This window comes from Homo sapiens, chromosome 4 (assembly GCF_000001405.40).
Source record: "Homo sapiens chromosome 4, GRCh38.p14 Primary Assembly".
NCBI classification, from domain to species: domain Eukaryota; kingdom Metazoa; phylum Chordata; class Mammalia; order Primates; family Hominidae; genus Homo; species Homo sapiens.
Window position 1 is genome coordinate 170497572 of NC_000004.12, and position 20371 is coordinate 170517942.

The window sequence follows — 20371 nt, forward strand, 5'->3', positions numbered from 1 at the left end:
CAGAGTTCTGCATTTTTTTCCTAAAGGACTTCGATTAAGTTCCTTGAGGTATCTGCAGTGAAATAAGTATCAACTGAAAGCTTTATGGTTTTTGAAACTTTACATTACTTTTTCTCCTACAGCAGCTTCATTAAGCCCGCTTGCTATTTACCTCTGACTTGCCACCCTGTAGGGCTGTGGAAAGGAATTAAATTAGACCTAATTAGATACTGGAAGCTGCTTCATATTCCATTAATAAAAGGCTTCCTACTTGGAGAAAATGGGATTTAAAATGTGTGAAATAAGCATATTATAGAGCTGTTCACTCACTGGCTCAATGCCACATCAGCTTTTTAGTGCTACTGTTTCTAGATAGGAAATAGGGAACTGCACAAAAGTACAGGCAACTGCCTATATTGGTATAGTATGAAACATGTTCCAAACTTCTTTGTCTATAAATCTCTTTCCCAAGGACTCTAAAATTCTCTCCTTTCTTGATTTGCATGATTGAGACAGTGAAGTCAACTCTTAGACAATGATATTTGGGCACATTTAAAATACATAGGATCAGTCATTTAGCTTAAATGTGCTGATGAGAATAACCGGCCTCGAGGGAAAAAGACAAAATACTATAAATTTTATGAGATTAGACCAAGCATGGAATCAGAAAGTGTTAGTTTTGAAGAGACTCTGGAAAAGGGTAGCCTGGTAACAAAGAAGCTGACGACCTTGAATGTTTTTGAGAAGAGAATATTCAACATGAGTTGGAGAGGAAGCAGCTGCTACCGCTACATATTCCACTGGGCAGTTATTCAATCTAGTCATTTTCATGTGCATTTAAAAAGTATCTTTATGGTCAATTTTGTCTGAGTTTTTTTTGTTACCAATAATGGGGGTGAATTTGACACTGCTTCCAAAATTTGGTAAGTTACCAGGAGAGGAAACTGGAAGTTGTTTGAGGTCAGAAAAAGATCAAGAAGGAAGAATAGAAACATTGATTAGCATCAGGCATTCAATGAAGGCTTGTTGAGGAAAAGACAGATGAAAGGCAGAAAAAGGAATGAAGGGAAGAAGGAAGGAAGAGAGGAAGGAAGGAAGGAAAGGAAGAAAAAAAGAAGGAAAGAAAGAAGAGAGAGAAGAGAAAAGAGGAGAAGAAAAGAGAAGAGAGAAGAAAGAAGAGAGAAGAGAAGGGAAATAATTCAAACTCAAAGGGCAGTGTTAGTGGCCACAGCAGAAATGGAAATGAAGGTGAATTCAGCGAGAGTTAGAGGCCAGATCCTGTAAACCTAGTATAAAAAAGGCAAAGTAAGCCTTTTCTTTCCCAAATACAATCTGGCAGTAAACCGTCCAAAGTGAGGCTCAGCTGGTGGAGGCTGAGGGGCTGTGTGGGGGACCTGGAACTATGACTTACTGCGTTCTCCTTGACAGCTCCCTGAAGCAGAACTCCGAAATCCCAGAGCTCTGTGAGACTCCATTAAAACTCACTGAATAAGTTTTTTTTCCCTAAGATTATTTGAGACCAGTCTTGCTTTCCTTTAGGATTCAGTAAACACTTGTTTCTATGGCAAAGAGTGCTGTGTCTCAAGTTCATAAACATATTTCTATCACTATTTTAAAGGGTTAGATTCCTAAAAGAGGGATTGTGACGGCATATAATTAACATTAGTTTATCCATAACTGTTAGCTTATATTTAGACAACTAAAATCCCAAAGCCTTTTTATATACTGTACTGCCAAATCAGCTCTCCCTCAGTTGGTGTTTGCATAATGAATACTTTGATCATAAATGGAAGTTTTGCTACCAATGGAGCAACTGGACAATGTGGCTTGAGTATTTGAAAACAATAACCCTTCTAATAGTTTCCTCCAAAATCAGGCATAGTGTTACCCCAAATCAGGTAATGTGGAAAACTACATGACTTTCTGGTTAGGGTGGCCCCACATCACTCCCTGCAGAGAGCAGAGGTGTATACTTGTTCTCTGCAGGCACAGAAATCCTGAATGAAGAGCAACAAGATAAGAAGGGTCAGGGCTATAGATGCCTCATTCTTCCGTCAATTCCACCTGTCAGGTAAATCACTTCCTTTCCTTTCAGAACTGACTTAAGTGGAAAAGAGAGGCTGGAGTAGAATTCTGATGGGGTCTTTCCACATAGAGACATAATGCCATGATAAAGGAAGTTCTCCCTGCTAGATTGATCTTGAATAGGAGCTCAGACATGAGGCTGGTGGTAGGGAGTGGAAGTGGAGTCAGCCCAGAGAAGGAGGCATTTTGTTACCTAAGGGGAGGAGAGACAGCACACTGACAAATATGAGGGTCTTTATTTAGGATTGTGTCACTCACGTACATCTCCAGAATAATATTCTACTAGCTGTAGTCTTACGTTAGGTCCCCATAGTTGCCCAACTGTGTCCTTATCTGGGCCTGGCTTTCTAGGTATTGCCAGTCCTGTAGTTATCCAATCTTGAGCATAATGGATCTATTTATTTTGAAATACCCCCAAGGTTACGTACAATAACGTATTCCTGAGTGCTTCTAGGGATGCAGACTTCACAAATCTTTATTTTTGGAAGTTATCATACATGTTTTTTCCCTTGAAATTTTGACATTTCTGTTTTCCACTGTTGTTTCAGAGGCTGCTAAAGTATCACTTTCTTACTCCATACCCTAAATGAAGTTGATATAGAATGGAACACTTAAATGCTTTTAAGGCTTAACTTCCATAACATTAATTGACTTTAATCTATATGGGCAATATTTACCTGTAATTACTTTAAATCAAAATAATGTGAGCACTTGACAAAATATCCACTACTATATCATGAATGGCTTTTGATAAAAGGACCACTCTCCTGCTTTATACCTCCTAATCTTCCCACTCCCCAGAAGCAACAACTTTTTATCATTTATGTTTTCAGCTTCTTTGTGGCTGCCTCCATAACTCTAGATAATGTTTACACCACTGTTTCTGAACTTAATCTCTTTAAACAGAATCCCATGCCTTAATGCCTTCCTACCTTGAAAGATGAAAATTTAGCTCATCTCTTCTTGGCCCACATTCTTCTCCATGTTCTTGCTACTTTTACTGTTGCTTTCGTTTCTAGTTTACTTATGTAACTGTAACTAGCTGTATTTCTTGTTCCCATCATTTTAATCAACAAGTGATGCCATTTTATAGGAGATGATGACTTCCTTCCCTATTGCCTATTTCCTATTACTTTTTACATTGTTAGGGATGTTAACACTTTCTATAAATCTGTAATTCTTTGTATTATGAGTTGACTATGAATGTTAAAAATCAATAGCTTTTATGTGATTTTTGCCTACACAAGATAATATCGTTCATATTTTCAATATCTTTGGCTTTTGTTTTATAATCATAGGTTTTTGTAAAGTTTTTCTTCTAGTTCATTTCATAAGCATATTTTTAACCTTTTAGTGTTTGTTCCCTGTTCTCTGCCTATTCCTTTTGATAGCATTTGATTCTTATTTTATGAATTAATACATTCTTACATGTCTTGTGTACACTGATTAGATTTTTTTTTTTTTGCTTTTTTTTTTTTTTGAGACGGAGTATCGCTCTGTCACCCAGGCTGAAGTGCAGTAGTGCGATCTCGGCTCACTGCAACCTCCACCTCACGAGTTCAAGCGATTCTCCTGCCTCAGCCTCCCAAGTAGCTAGGACTACAGGGGCGCACCACCACACCCAGCTAATTTTTGTTTTTTTTAGTAGAGATGGGGTTTCACCATGTTGGCCAGGATGGTCTCGATCTCTTGACCTCGTGATCCGTCCGCCTCGGCCTCCCAAAGTGCTGGGATTACAGGCATGAGCCACCGCACCCGGCCCACTGATTAGATTTTTAAGCTTTTTCTTGAATTATCTCTACTTTCTCAGAAATTTTTAAAAAATGATTACTTATCTAGTTATTTCTTCTTCATGGTTTTTGTTCCATTTGTGTTCATCCTTGGTTATTCACACATTTTGAAGAATGAAGGCTTGTGTAAACCACATACATTTGTTTACGTATCTCCTTGAGTATAATCCTTTATTAGCTAGGTCAGTTGGCTGTAAGAATTAATAGGTTGCTGGCTTCTAAAATGTAAGGATCAGTAGGATTTTGTCCCATTATTCCACCCGCCTCACAAGAAATCTTAGATCTTCTCAGCTTATTTGTTCCGTTCCTTAGAGATGAGTCCTCCATGTCTTGCCTGTAGTTAAACCTCGCTGCTTGCATTTGAATTGGGAATAAGAAAGAGCAATGAAGTGTTCACATACAAATCTTCTATTACGTCTCCTGTTTTAAGCTTTCCCTTTCCCTCCCAGCCTCCAGCATGCTCACTGAGTCTCAGCCCAGAGCTTCTCTGTAATCAAGGGGTGGGCTGCTCCTGCCTGGTCTGCTGCTCTCTCAACCTATGTGCCGTTCTGTGACTTCCTCAGGCCTGTTTCTTTTGGTCAGAGTTATCCCACCACATTCCTAGCTCTCAGCAATTTGTGAAACAGGCTTAACACTGATGGTGGGGACTTTGCCTCTCTCCTCTCTTTCATTCTTATTCCAAATTTATATTTTTTCCATCATCTCAATCACATTTGGGAAGGGGAAGAAGGGGGAAAATATGTGCTCATTCTGCCCTCTTGAAATGACTGTTAATTTGTTCTAAATGTTATAGGAAGCTTGGAAGCACAATCATTTTAAATGTGTGTGTGTGTGTTTAAATTCTCATTTTATTGTGGGTAAGTCTAGACATGTCTATTTCTGATATGGACAGTGGGAATTATTATTTATAGCTTGTTTTACTGACAACGTGTGCATTTGGAAGGTGGGAGGCAGGAGAAGTGTTTTTATCACAAATTACACTGTGGTTAAGCTTCTCTTATGGGGAGAACTTGCTTAAACCTCTTGGTTTACCAACTTGTCTGTACATCTCGTTCTCTAACCAGAGATGTTAGAAATATTATTTTCCCAGAGGTTAGTCATACCAGCCAAATTGAATCCTGGTTTAAATTAAACACAAGAAAGATCACCATTTTTATATTAAACCCAATAAAGATCACCATTTAAAAAAAACCTGGAACCAGTAACAAATTGCTCTCAGTTGTAGCAAGCTGTTAATGTGAGTCTGAGGGGTGCAAGGTGCATACCTATATCCATATGGGTATATTTCATATATATTCATATTTCAGCCTGCCTGAAAGGGTACAGCTGATCTTCAAACATGAGAAGGTCCTAGTAGTGTTCATATTCCTGGTTCTAGTGGTTCTAGTTGTCTGTGAGGTTGATCTTCACCCACAGTATTCTTTCTATACTTTAGCTTCCTAGCCAAGAACATCTCCTCACTAAAGTAGTGATATGTTTCTGTCACATGTATCCAAAAGTTTTCTAATTTTAACTCACAGCCCCAACCACCATCTCAGTCTCTCAGAAACATGCAAACTGACTCAGATTATTTATTTATAAAGAATTTCAACTCTGCCTTACGTATCCACTCATTTAAGTCCTGGGTATAGAGGAAATTTCACGAAATCACTGAGTGGTCGTAGTCTTATGAGTTACATACAGGCATGGGAATATATGGCTCTTCTTTATTTTATTTTATTTTGTTTTTTGGAGACAGAGTCTCACTCTGTCATCCAGGCTGAAGTGCAGTGGGGCTATCTTGGCTCACTACAATCTCCACCTCCCAGGTTCAAGCGATTCTACTGCCTCAGTCCCCTGAGTAGCTGAGATTACAGCCATGTGCCACCATGCCTGGCTAATTTTTATATTTTTAGTAGAGACAGGGTTTTGCCATATTGGCCAGGCTAGTCTCAAACACCTGGCTTCAGGTGATCCGCCTGCCTTGGCCTCCCAAAGTGCTGGGATTACAGGCATGAGTCACTGCTCCCAGCTGTTTCTTCTCCTAAATTTTCTTTTTATTAAGGTGATAACAATTTTCAAGTTATTCAGAATAGTTGGGATGTAGTTACTAAAGATGGTATATTGGTCTGTTCTCACGCTGCTAATAATGACATACCTGAGACTGGGTAATTTATAAAGAGAAAGAGGTTTAATGGACTCACAGTTCCACATGGCTGAGGAGGCCTCACAATCATGGCGGAAGACAAATGAGGAGCAAAGAGACTTCTCACACGGCAGCAAGGAAAAGAGAGAAGACTTATGCAGGGGAACTCCTCTTTATAAACCTATCAGATCTCATGAGACTTATTCACTATCACGAGAACAGCACCAGAAAGACCTGCCCCCTTGAACCAATTACCTCCCACCAGGTTTCTCCCACAACAGGTGAGAATTGTGGGAGCTACAATTGAAGGTGAGATTTGGGTAAGGATACAGCCGAATCATATCAGATGGTAATTAGATAATAATTACAAAAAAAACCCCTATTCTTGCACATAGTTAATAGACTAGTATTTTCTGTGATTTTTCTGGACTTTTAATGGAGAAGGTAGTTGCAATTGTTTGCACTTTTCTTCAAAACTGAGCTACTCTGTTACATCTCGTCTAAAATAATGGAATCAATTATCTGGGTTGTTGAGCAGGTGTTTAGCCTGTATTCTCTAAAAATAAATTATGTCAGGCTAATCTAAATTTTTTGATGAAGTAACTAATTTATGAAAAGGCATAATTTATCTTGATTTTTGCAATGCTTTTGATAAAGCGTCTTTCAAAAAGCTTGTGAATAAGTCCCAATATATTGGCATTAGCATAAGATTGCTAAAATAGATGAGTAACTGGCAAACTAGAGAAGGTAATAATACACAGACAATAATTCTTTAGGGCAGAGTTGACAAGCAGGGTTCCCAGGGGCTCAGAATTCAGGAATAGTTTAAATAAGATTTATATCACTAATTTAGCAATAGGCTTACAGTTCAGCAATCTGCTGCTGACTTCTAGATAGTAGTTTGAGATTCAGAGAAACATGGGGAAACAGCCATGAGTAAACAAGAAGGTCCTCAAAACAAAATCATAATCTGAATTTGGAGTTTCAGGCTAAAGGAGCAGCTCAGTGGTAATGATAGAACTGAGTCAGAGGCAGGTGGACTTTATGTAGTGTTTGATTAGCATTTATGTCTCTGTTGTTTAATGGGTTGTGCTCTGCAACTGAAAACCCGAAGCCTGGGGATTTTTTCAGATGTTCTAATATTGGTTTGAGTACTCCTCATCCCATGACAAATTTTTGGACTTCCAACCCTATCAGGCATTTGCTAGAAAATTCTTATCTCCTCTTATTAAGCCCTCTAATAAAAAACTAGCATTCCCCAGTCTACTTTGAGATACACAGAAATAAACTCTTTGTGCTTGAAGGTAAGATAACATATGATAGGAAGAAGTCAATATTTCTGACAAATTAGGCCTCCTCAAACAATACCCTATGTGCTCTTCCTAGTAACTGATCTTTTTGGTGGCTTCCCATATATGATTCTGCAAAGCTTCCCCTATCAAGGGATATTCTCAGTAGCAGTGGCAGCTTTTCTGTTGGCAGTGGCTTTGAAGATTATTTTTCTTTTTATTTTATTTTATTTTATTTTATTATATGTTAAGTTCTAGGGTACATGTGCACAACGTGCAGGTTTGTTACATATGTATACATGTGCCATGTTGTTGTGCTGCACCCAGTAACTCGTCATTTACATTAGGTATATCTCCTAATACTATCTCTCCCCGCTCCTCCCACCCCATGACAGGCCCCCGTGTGTGATGTTCCCCACCCTGTGTCCAAGTGTTCTCATTGTTCAATTCCCACCTATGAGTGAGAACATGCGGTGTTTGGTTTTCTGTCCTTGCGAAAGTTTGCTGAGAATGATGATTTCCAGCTTCATCCATGTCCCTAAAAAGGACATGAACTCATCCTTTTTTATGGCTGCATAGTATTCCATGGTGTATATGTGCCACATTTTATTTATCCAGTCTGTCATTGATGGACATTTGGGTTGGTTCCAAGTCTTTGCTATTGTGAATAGTGCCACAATAAATATACGTGTGCATGTGTCTTTATAGTAGTATGATTTATATTCCTTTGGGTGTATACCCAGTAGTAGGATGGCTGGGTCAAATGGTATTTCTAGTTCTAGATCCTTGAGGAATTGCCACACTGTCTTCCACAATGGTTGAACTAGTTTACAGTCCCACCAACAGTGTACAAGTGTTCCTATTTCTCCACATCCTCTCCAGCACCTGTTGTTTCCTGATTTTTTAATGATCGCCATTCTAACTGGTGTGAGATGGTATCTCATTGTGGTTTTGATGTGCATTTCTCTGATGGCCAGTGATGATGAACATTTTTTCATGTGTCTGTTGGCTGAATAAATGTCTTCTTTTGGGAAGCGTCTGTTCATATCCTTTGTCCACTTTTTGATGGGGTTGTTTGATTTTTTCTTGTAAATTTGTTTAAGTTATTTGTAGACTCTGGATATTAGCCCTTTGTCAGATGGGTAGATTGTAAAAATGTTCTCCCATTCTGTACGTTTACTGTTCATTTTGATGGTAGTTTCTTTTGCTGTGCAGAAGCTCTTCAGTTTAATTAGATCCCATTTGTCAATTTTGGCTTTTGTTGCCATTGCTTTTAGTGTTTTAGACATGAAGTCCTTGCGCATGCATATGTCCTGAATGGTATTGCCTAGGTTTTCTTCTAGGGTTTTTATGGTTTTAGGTCTAACATTTAAGTCTTTAATCCATCTTGAATTGATTTTTGTATAAGGTGTAAGGAAGGGATCCAGTTTCAGCTTTCTACATATGGCTAGCCAGTTTTCCCAGCACCATTTATTAAATAGGGAATCCTTTCCCCATTTCTTGTTTTTGTCACGTTTGTCAAAGATCAGATGGTTGTAGATGTGTGGTATTATTTCTGCAGACTCTGTTCTGTTCCATTTATCTATATCTCTGTTTTGGTACCAGTACCATGCTGTTTTGATTACTGTAGCCTTGTAGTATAGTTTGAAGTCAGGTAGCGTGATGCCTCCAGCTTTGTTCTTTTGGCTTAGGATTGTCTTGGCAATGCAGGCTCTTTTTTGGTTCCAGGTGAACTTTAAAGTAGTTTTTTCCAATTCTGTGAAGAAAGTCATTGGTAGCTTGATGGGGATGGCATTGCATCTATAAATTACCTGGCAGTATGGCCATTTTCATGATATTGATTCTTCCTATCCATGATCATGGAATGTTCTTCCATTTGTTTGTGTCTTCTTTTATTTCATTGAGCAGTGGTTTGTAGTTGTCCTTGAAGAGGTCCTTCACTTCCCTTGTAAGTTGGATTCCTAGGTATTTTATTCTCTTTGAAGCAATTCTGAATGGGAGTTCACTCATTATTTGACTCTCTGTTTGTCTGTTATTTGTGTATAAGAATGCTTGTGATTTTTCCACATTGATTTTGTATCCTGAGACTTTGCTGAAGTTGCTTATCAGCTTAAGGAGATTTTGGGCTGAGGTGATGGGGTTTTTTACATGTACGGTAATGTCATCTGCAAACAGGGACAATTTGACTTCTTCTTTTCCTAATTGAATACGCTTTATTTCTTTCTTCTGCCTGATTGCCCTGGCAGAACTTCCAACACTATGTTGAATAGGAGTGGTGAGAGAGGGCATCCCTGTCTTGTGCCAGTTTTCAAAAGGAATGCTTCCGGTGTTTGCCCATTCAGTGTGATATTGTCTGTGGGTTTGTCATCAATAGCTCTTTTTATTTTGAGTTACGTCCCGTCAATACCCAGTTTATTGAGAGTTTTTAGCATGAAGGGCTGTTGAATTTTGTTGATGGCCTTTTCTGCATCTATTGAGATAATCATGTGGTTTTTGTCTTTGGTTCTGTTTATATGATGGATTACATTAATTGATTTGCATATGTTGAACCAGCCATGCATCCCAGGGATGAAGACCACTTGATCATGGTGGATAAGCTTTTTGATGTGCTGCTGGATTTGGTTTGCCAGTATTTTATTGAGTATTTTTGCATCGATGTTCATCAGGGATATTGGTCTAAAATTCTCTTTTTTTGTTGTGTCTCTGCCAGGCTTTGGTATCAGGATGATGCTGGCCTCATAAAATGAATTAGGGAGTATTCCTTCTTTTTCTATTGATTGGAATAGTTTCAGAAGGAATGGTACCAGCTCCTCCTTGTACATCTTGTAGAATTCGGCTATGAATCCATCTGGTCCTGGACTTTTTTTGGTTAGTAGGCTATTAATTATTGCCTCAATTTCAGAACCTGTTATTGCTCTATTCAGGGATTCAACTTCTTCCTGGTTTAGTCTTGGGAGGGTGTATGTGTCCAGAAATTTATCCATTTCTTCTAGATTTTCTAGTTTATTTGTGTAGAGGTGTTTACAGTATTCTCTGATGGTAGTTTGTGTTTCTGTGGGATCGGTGGTGATATCCCCTTGGTCATTTTTTGTTGTGTCTATTTGATTCTTCTCTCTTTTCTTCTTTATTATTCTTGCTAGCAGTCTATCAATTTTGTTGACCTTTTCAAAAAACCAGCTCCTGGATTCATTGATTTTTTTTGAAGGGTTTTTTGTGTCTCTATCTCCTTCAGTTCTCCTCTGATCTTAGTTATTTCTCCTGTGATCTTAGTTATTTCTTGCCTTCTGCTAGCTTTTGAGTGTGTTTGCTCTTGCTTCTCTAGTTCTTTTTGTTGTGATGTTAGGGTGTCAATTTTAGATCTTTCCTGCTTTCTCTTGTGTGCATTTAGTGCTATAAATTTCCCTCCACACACTGCTTTAAATGTGTCCCAGGGATTCTGGTATGTTGTGTCTTTGTTCTCATTGGTTTCAAAGAACATGTTTATTTCTGCCTTCATTTTGTTATTTACCCAGCAATCATTCAGGAGCAAGTTGTTCGGTTTCCATGTAGTTGAGTGGTTTTGAGTGAGTTTCTTAATTCTGAGTTCTAGTTTGCTTGCACTGTGGTATAAGAGACAGTTTGTTATAATTTCTGTTGTTTTATATTTGCTGAGGAGTGCTTTACTTCCAACTATGTGGTCAGTTTTGGAAGAAGTGTGATGTGGTGCTGGAAAAATTTATATTCTGTTGATTTGGGATGGAGAGTTCTGTAGATGTCTATTAGGTCTGCTTGGTGGAGAGCTGAGTTCAATTCCTGGATATCCTTGTTAACTTTCTGTCTCGTTGATCTGTCTAATGTTGACAGTGGGGTGTTAAAGTCTCCCATTATTATTGTGTGGGAGTCTAAGTCTCTTTCTAGGTCTCTAACGACTTGCTTTATGAATCTGGGTGCTCCTGTATTGGGTGCATATATATTTAGAATAGTTAGCTCTTCTTGTTGAATTGATCCCTTTACCATTATGTAATGGCCTTCTTTGTCTCTTTTGATCTTTGTTGGTTTAAAGTCTGTTTTATCAGAGACTAGGATTGCAACCCCTGTTTTTTTTCTTTTCCATTTGCTTGGTAGATCTTCCTCCATCCCTTTATTTTGAGCCTATGTGTGTCTCTGCATGTGAGATGGGTTTCCTGAATACAGCACACTGATGGGTCTTGACTTTATCCAATTTAGCAGTCTGTGTCTTTTAATTAGAGCATTTAGCCCATTTACATTTAATCTTAATACTGTTATGCATGAATTTGATCCTGTCATTATGGTGTTAACTGGTTATTTTGCCCATTAGTTGATGCAGTTTCTTCCTAGCATTGATGGTCTTTACAATTTGGCATATTTTTGCAGTGGCTGGTACTGGTTGTTCCTTCCCATGTTTAGTGCTTCCTTCAGGAGCTCTTGTAAGGCAGGCCACGTGATGACAAAATCTCTCAGCATTTGCTTGTCTGTAAAGGATTTTATTTCTCCTTCACTTATGAAGCTTGGTTTGGCTGGATATGAAATTCTGGGTTGAAAATTCTTTTCTTTAAGAATGTTGAATATGGGCCCCCACTCTCTTCTGGCTTGTAGAGTTTCTGCCAAGAGATCTGCTGTTAGTCTGATGGGCTTCCCTTTGTGGGTAACATGACATTTCTCTCTGGGTACCCTTAACATTTTTTCCTTTACTTCAACTTTGGTGAATCTGACATTATGTGTCTTGGAGTTGCTCTTCTCGAGGAGTATCTTTGTGGCATTCTCTGTATTTCCTGAATTTGAATGTTGGCCTTCCTTTCTAGGTTGGGGAAATTCTCCTGTATAATATCCTGCAGAGTGTTTTCCAACTTGGTTCCATTCTCCCCGTCACTTTCAGGTACACCAATCAGACGTAGATTTGGTCTTTTCACATAGTCCCATATTTCTTGGAGACTTTGTTCATTTCTTTTTACTCTTTTTTTTCTCTAAACTTCTCTTCTCACTTCATTTCATTCACTTGTTCTTTAATCACTGATACCCTTTCTTCTACTGATCAAATCGGCTACTGAAGCTTGTGCCTGTGTCACGTAGTTCTTGTGCCATGGTTTTCAGCTCCATCAGGTCATTTAAGGTCTTCTCTACACTGCTTATTCTAGTTAGCCATTCGTCTAATCTTTTTTCAGGGTTTTTAGCTTCTTTGCAATGGGTTCGAACATCCTCCTTTAGCTCGGAGGAGTTTGTTATTACTGATTGTCTGAAGCCTTCTTCTCTCAACTTGTCAAAGTCATTCTCCACCCAGCTTTGTTCCATTGCTGGTGAGGAGCTGCATTCCTTTGGAGGAGAAGAGGCACTCTGATTTTTAGAATTTTCAGCTTTTCTGCTCTGGTTTGTCCCTATCTTTGTGGTTTTATCTACCTTTGGTCTTTAATGATGGTGACGTACAGAGGGGTTTTGGTGTGGATGTCCTTTCTGTTTGTTAGTTTTCCTTCTAACAGTCAGGACCCTCAGCTGCAGGTCTGTTGCAGTTTACTGGAGGTCCACTTCAGACCCTGTTTGCCGGGGTATCACCAGCAGAGGCTGCAGAACAGCAAATATTGCAGAATGGTAAATGTTGCTGCCTGATCCTTTCTCTGGAAACTTCATCTCAGGGGGGCACCTGGCTGTATGTGATGTCAGTCAGTCCCTACTGGGAGGTATCTCCCAGTTAGGCTACTTGGGGGTAGGGACCCACTTGAGGAGGCATTCTGTCCATTCTCAGATCTCAAACTGCATGCTGGGAGAACCATCACTCCCTTCAAAGCTGTCAGATAGGGACATTTAAGTCTGCAGAAGTTTCTGCTGCCTTTTGTTCAGCTATGCCCTGCCCCCAGAGGTGGAGTCTACAGAGGCAGGCAGGTCTCCTTGGGCTGTGGTCTGCTCCACCTGTTTTGAGCTTCCAGGCCACTTTGTTTACCTACTCAAGTCTCAGCAATGGCGGACACCCCTCCCCCAGCTTTGCTGTTGCCTTGCTGTTCGATCTCAGACTGCTGTGCCAGCAGTGAGCGAGGCTCCCCGGGTGTAGGACCCTCCAAGCCATGCGTGGGATATAATCTCCTGGTGTGTTGTTTGCTAAGACTGTTGGAAAAGTGTAGTATTAGGGTGGGAGTGTCCCAATTTTCCAGGCACCATCTGTTACGGCTTCCCTTGGCTAGGAAAGGGAATTCCCCGACCCCTTGCACTTCCTGGGTGAGGTGATGCCCTGCCTGCTCTGTAGGCTGCACCCACTGTCCGGCAAGCCCCAGTGAGACGAACCTGGTACCTCAGTTGGAAATGCAGAAATCACCCGTCTTCTGCGTCGCTCACGCTGGGAGCTGTACCTGTTTGGCCATCTTGGAACCTTGAAGATTATTTTTCAGTGGTGATTATTCTGTAACAAAAACCCAGTCAATTTTTTTCAATATCTCATTAGCATAATCTCTCATTGATTACATCAGATCTGAAAGGTTACTCACAACCCTTTATGGTCCAAGATCCTTCGGCTGTTAAATTGCTCAACATCAATTTTTCCATTGACTCATCTCCAAAGGTAACTTACAGTAACATCTGAAATTTACCTTCTAGATTCCATTTCATGAGATTTCACAGCTTTTTGAAAGAACTTAAGATTGTTCACAACGAGTCTTTTGTACTTTGTTACTCAGAGTGTGGCTTCAGACCAGCAGCACTGGTACCATTTACCACTTGAAAGTTTGCTAAAATACAGAATACTGGTTTCCGTGGTCATTGAAATAGAATATGGATCCAACATGATTTCCAGATGATTTTATTTTTATTTTTATTTTTATTTTTATTTTTTATTTTTTATTATTATTTTTTGAGATGGAATCTCGCTCTGTCACCCAGGCTGGAGTGCAGTGTCATGATCTTGGCTCCCTGCAAGCTTCACCTCCTGGGTTCACGCCATTCTCATGCCTCAGCCTCCCGAGTAGCTGGGACTACAGGTGCCTGCCACCATGCCCAGCTACAAAAGTTCTGGGATGATAGGCGTGAACCACCATGCCCAGTCATGATTTCTATCTAAGCACACTAAAGTTTGAGAAGACAGGCATAGCAATGATCTAGAAACAGGCTTAGAGAGAAAACAGAACTTTGGTGGCACATAGTTAGGAATTGACAGAGCTTGTATGAGTTTTGTTACAACTATTTTCCTCTACATGATATTCTAAGGACATATGTACAATGAAACTCTAGGATGTTTCAGATGACTATGTTCTCTGAGTCTTAAAAATGCCTCCCCAAGTGGCATATCTAACAACAGAAGGATGTGATTTTGCAGCCTAAGAAATACCCAGTAGGGAAGGGGAAACCTCTAGAAATCACAGCAGAGCAGTGTGGAAAGTCTTGCAGAATTGTCACGATACCTGAGGGACACACCTAAGGTGATACAGTTTTGTATTAACAAAGATGAGGTTACTTGTCTATGTGAGTGTCATGAACTGCCCAACCCTCATTGCTACGGTAATTGAATACATGCTGGCTGAACAAAATGTTCTTGTTTTTTAATGGTTGTTTTGTTTCCTTATGGTCACAGCCTGGAGATTTGGAAGGGCAAAAATTTATAGAATGAAATCAAGGTATTTCTTCATGAACTTTGTTCTGAATCAAGGAAAATCATGCATCTGTTTTACAAATCTTCATAAGCAATACTGTATTTGGTTCTAAATATTGAGTGTAATTAAGGTGTTACAAATTGGTGAATGATGCTGAAAATGACTGTAAAATTTATTCAAAAATCAGAATAACTATTTTTGTAAGGAAGGATTCAAAAATGAATACATTTATGTCTATAAAATGCATTTTAAACAGGCTAAAGAGATATGACTGCACCTAACAATTATAAAAGGATAGTAAATAAAAACTGAATATAAAGAGGAAGGAAGAGCTATTGCGAAAACCTGAGCTGAGGAAAAGTACCAATTTCAACTGTTTAATTGTGTGGCTGGAGTAAAGCTGAGGTAAACATGGTCAGGTCCAAAATATAAACACGTAAATTACATATGTAACTAACCTGCACAATGTGCACATGTACCCTAAAACTTAAAGTATAATAAAAAAAAAAAAGAAAAGTAGAAAAACCTTTAAAAAGTAATATGAGTCTCTCATCCTAAAAGGAAGAAGCTGAAGCATAAAATATGATTTAAAGAGTTTATCTGAGCCAAACTGAGGAGAGCTGCTCAGAAGACTCAGCCTAAGTCCCCTTGGATATGAGCTTTCTTTGACCTTTGTTACAGAGAGGTTTTTAAAGGCAAAAAAATGGGGCAAAGGGAATGGGCTGATACAAAGATTTTTGTCAGGGATTCTCACTGGTTCATAGAAATAACATTGATTACTAATTGGCTATACATTATTAAGCTACATTGTGTGGTTATGGTTTCAGTGCAGCATTATTTGGTTAATTATACCGACTTGTGACAATAGCCTGTAGTTTCAAAAGATGAAAACAGCTCAAAAAGGGGGAGGTATGCGGTGATTGCTGTCTTATTTTAATGACTTTCTGGGCCTGATAATTTGAAAGAGCTCATATTTCTCAGATAAAAGTTGTTTTCTTTCCTCAAGACCATACATAAATTCCTTAAGGAGCTGTCAATGTGAAAATTGCATCATTGGGTATTTCAAATTGTCCTAAATTTGCTATTGATCCATTCATAGTTTTCTTTACCCACCTATTTTTGTCTAGAGGTTTTCTCCTAAGGTAACTGCTCCACCAGAATTCTAGGATCTCTTTTTGCCTACCTCCTGTTAAAAATCTTTAATTTTCATTGTGTGGCATAACTCTTTTTCCCACTTACCTGTCCACTTTGAAAAAGTTCTCTAGTGTGTAAATTAATGTAGTAATTGGGTTCAGGACATGCTACCCTGATTTATAACTGCAGGAGACTAGAATATGCCACCTCAAAATATGTCTCTGTAACCAAAATGTAGGTTCAGTCATTCACCACTTACAGAGTCCAATTAACGAGAGCAAAGTCTGGTATGAAGAAAATGACTTTGATTCCAAAGTTAGCTTAGGGGAAGGATTATGGGCTCCTGCCTTAAGGGTACTGCTTTAGTTTTGGAGCAGAAAGTAGGCACTTTAAAAAGGACACTCGGCATGAATGGCACACAGGGAGAAAAATTCAGGTGGGAGTCTGTGTGACACACTTCAGTGCTTTATCTCCTGGGCGGTAAAGGTGGCACCAATGTGGGCAGAACTATGTTATACTTTTGGTTGTAAACTGATTATCATCTCTTGAGGCAATCTCCTGGTAGGAGAGCATTCTGCTCTGGAGCTTTTAAGTAAGCACACAGTTAGATAAGCTTGCCTTGTAGGGAGTGTCTCGTGAAGGGAAGGTAAAATGTTATAACTACATGTCTAAAGAGCTAATTAGGAAGTGGGGATCTGAGAAAGAGAAGATAAAAGAGAAAAAGGCTAAACTATTGCTTGGAAAATGGGGGTACTCGGTTATAATTCCCCACTGTCAGGTTTTATGCCATTTCTACGAGATTTGGGTACCATATTTATTCTGGCTACTTCCTGCTGAAAGGGGCATAGTTATTGGATATCAGTATGAAACTGATCTATTTGGAGTTGGAAATATTCATAAGTATGAGGACTTAAAAATGATATTTGTTGGACAATGATGGTATGAGGTCTGGAAAGTTTCTGGGAAAGCCTGTTTTGCATTCCCATATAGAGGGTGCAACAGCAGTAAAATCTACAGCAGAGAAATATGCCTGTTCTTGCAACCAGAGCCAAAGTTACAAGTAGCATTCACCACCAGGATGATCCTGACCCAAACCAGGATTCTAATCATTGATCTAGTGACAATATGGGGTGAAGACAAAGCTTTGATTTGTTGGCATATGTCTCACAGGGGTATCAAGACATTTCCCAAATTACCTAGGAAGTATACATTGCAGTTAGTCTTAATTATCATGCAGGTTCCCCAATGCCAGTTGTAACTGGACCTCCTATGAAGATTTGATGACAGGTTGATTAAATATGTATTTAGTAGGTTACAGGAGGAGCTATGAATGTTCATGAAGGTGGTCATAACCTCTGTCCAGTTCTTGAGTATGAATCAATAGCTGTTTCCAATCTAGGAGGTTGTGTTACAGACGGGGTGGGCCTCTGTATGTGATAAACATAAACAGATTTTTAATAAGACGTATTTTTATGGAAATAGAAGAAAAACAAAGGTTAATGTTTGGCACAATTTATCCAAATGTTGGACTCAAAGCATCATTAGTGCTTTGAGGGAGGCAGTGGTAGTCTGACATGTTTTTCTCACCTGTATTACAAGAAATAAGGTAGTAGTAATTTCATTGATTCCAAATTAGAAAAATGGAAGAAAGATTCAAATGCATTAGAGACTTGTAGCAAAGAAAGAATTAAAGATTTAGTCCAAATTGCAGAAAATAATAAAAATTTAAGTACAATGAACAAGACTAGAATCTAACAACAGGTATACTGTAGTATTTTTCAGAAACATAGGTTTTCTTTCTGTAGCCTGTTTTTACTAAAAACAACTCATAGTAGGACAAATTTATTTGCAAAATAAGTTTTAGTCTTATGATGCTTGGCCTGATTATTTTCATGAAGTGCAGAAAAAAATAGTTGTCTACCATATAGGATCCCTTTAAAATTGGCTTTGCTGGAATTCTTATTTATGAGGAATTATGGATTAGACTTTTTAAAGCCTCAAGCCCAGCCATGAATTTATTTATGCCTACCAATACCTGTATGGATTAAGTGAATTCCTCTCCTCTCAAGGTCCCAAGATAACTTGTGGCTCCTAGGTTTGTTGGAAAGTGACATTCTTTACTTACTACAGGCCATGAACCCTGTATAGGGACTGTGTAGATAAGATATGAAGCCAGTTTTTCCAAGGGGCTTTTATTGACTCTAAAAGTTCATCTTGATCCCTTAGAGTAGTCTGTTTGTATCTGAAAGCATGCTATTCCAGTCAAAGCATTGGTAAAAAAAAATCCAGTGTTTCTAATTATGTCCTGTTATGAAAGAGAACAGATTAAATTAAGTATATTTACAAATAGCTTTCAAATTTTTGAGAAATCAGGTAGAAAGAAAGTAATATGCTTAAAATTTTGCTCACAGAAGTGTACTTTAGCCAACTGTTAAAAGCTGTAAATAGGTCAAAACAGAAAAGGTTTCTGGACTCTGAAAAACAAAAAAATTAGCAATGCTAATTATAAAATGGTCTGATTGGCTTTGGGTTGCCCACCAGCCTCAGGAGAATGTCCTTGCAGTAAAATACATGGTAAAAACATTATACTCTCTGGTCCCATGGTCTTCACCTCTTTTGAGAGGTGTAAATATGGGATCCTTAATTTGGGGAATCTGTTTCGCCTTTCAGCTATACCTGCTTATTAGGCCCTAGAAACTGCATGCTTTCCTAGTTTTTTTCCTTAAAATTCTCCACCAGTAATTTAATGCCAGTAATTTAATTAACTTACATCTTTAAGACAATCTACCTGTGTAAGAGTGTCTGCTTTTTCTGGCCATCTTAACTGAAATGTTATTCACACTATTTTTGCTTGGTTTGGGTAAAATATGAATTCTCTATCTTGTTTCACCTAAGAGTTGGCCTTTTAGTAATAAAAATTTAGAGCTCCCTAGCTGACAATCAGGACAGAGAACAGGTAATTAAAAGACTGATAATCGAAAATGAGAAAGAGAAACTTAAAAACTGACACATGAAAAATCTTAAAACTACCAAATCTGCTTTTGTTTGTATATATGTGTGTGTGTGTGTGTGTGTGTGTGTGTGTATATATGTATATATATATACATATATATATATAGTGCATGAGGTTTATATAAAAGAGCTCTAATTATTTGGCTTAAAAATAACAAGCATTTAAATCAAACATATTATCAGATAATTAGAAACTTTAAAGCCTTTAGCTCATGTGACACCAATAATCTTTGAAAAATAAAGGCAGTTAAAGATTATCAGTAAAGTAAAATGAAAATACCATCTCCAAAATTCAGACATTTGGTCTAAATTAGGCAGGACTGATACTGTTTGCTAGATGCTTTAAGGTCATAAACTGCCTTTATGACTTATAATAATTATGTGACTTGTCTGTTTTACAGTCATTAGATTCTAGGTAAGTCCTAGTGACATATGAAGTTAGCCAGGTCCCCTGGGTAGGCTGGGAAGAGTCAGATATTGGTCTGCAGTTCTGTCTTTGTCCTGTGCTCTACAATCAGATACAGGTTAAAATTGCTTACTTACCAAGTTTTTCACCAAAAATAAAAGTTGCTGAGAGTTAACCTTGTAAATGTGTAATTGCTGAAAGATAACATTGTAAATGTATAATTATAAATGTGTAACATATGAAATATGTAATTTAGTTAACATTGTAAATGTGTAATTGGTGTATAAGGAAAGTTGAGTGTGTTTTTGGTAAAAGGTTACGAGAAGATATGAAAATATCGTTTTTATTAAAGGCAATGCAATTTTGTCTAGTTCAGAGGTTTTTAAGGATTGTGATAAGCTAAAAGAATAATAAGACAAAATTAGCAGCATGCTTCCAAATTAGCAGCATGCTTCCAGTCAAGGGGCTGGGTGGAGTCCTGAATCCCCTGCCCCAGTTTCAAATGGCTCCATATACAGCTGAGTCTGAGCTGAGCAAAGCTCCTATAGTGCCACACATACAAAAAATACAAATGCATAAAATGCTCAAATAGAGTTACTAGAGGCCAAGTCTAAATAGAGCAGGGCCCCAGTGACACCTGAAAAGAGGCATAGGGTGGTCAGATGCACTCCAACCTGTTTGTTCAGTACCAAAGCTTGCTGGCTTCTTCAGAGTTCACTTTATTTTTACCAGTGAAATGCTGGAGGTAGCAGACATTGTGCCAGGAGGGGAAAAGGAGGTTCCCCAAAACAAAAGTGTTTTTGGAAGCTGCTTGGGAGTTCTCTAATGTTCATTTTATGGGTTCCACTAGCCACTAGCAGCTGGTGCTCAGAGGTGACCCCATGACTCACCCAAAGTGAAAATTGGCTGTCAGGCTTGGATTCACCCAGAGTGGCCACCAAAACTGTGACCATAATGCAGGTTCAGTTGCTCATCACTTGAAG

At 38.6% G+C, this 20371-nt stretch overlaps 1 annotated feature.

The window, feature by feature from the left end:
• Positions 12906-14105: an enhancer, noted in NCBI's record as "MED14-independent group 3 enhancer chr4:171431628-171432827 (GRCh37/hg19 assembly coordinates)". NCBI's record gives its function as "activates an origin of replication core promoter dependent on BRD2, BRD4, P300/CBP and CDK7 cofactors, and independent of MED14, by STARR-seq in HCT116 cells {active_cell/tissue: HCT116}" and the evidence as "EXISTENCE:reporter gene assay evidence [ECO:0000049][PMID:35650434]".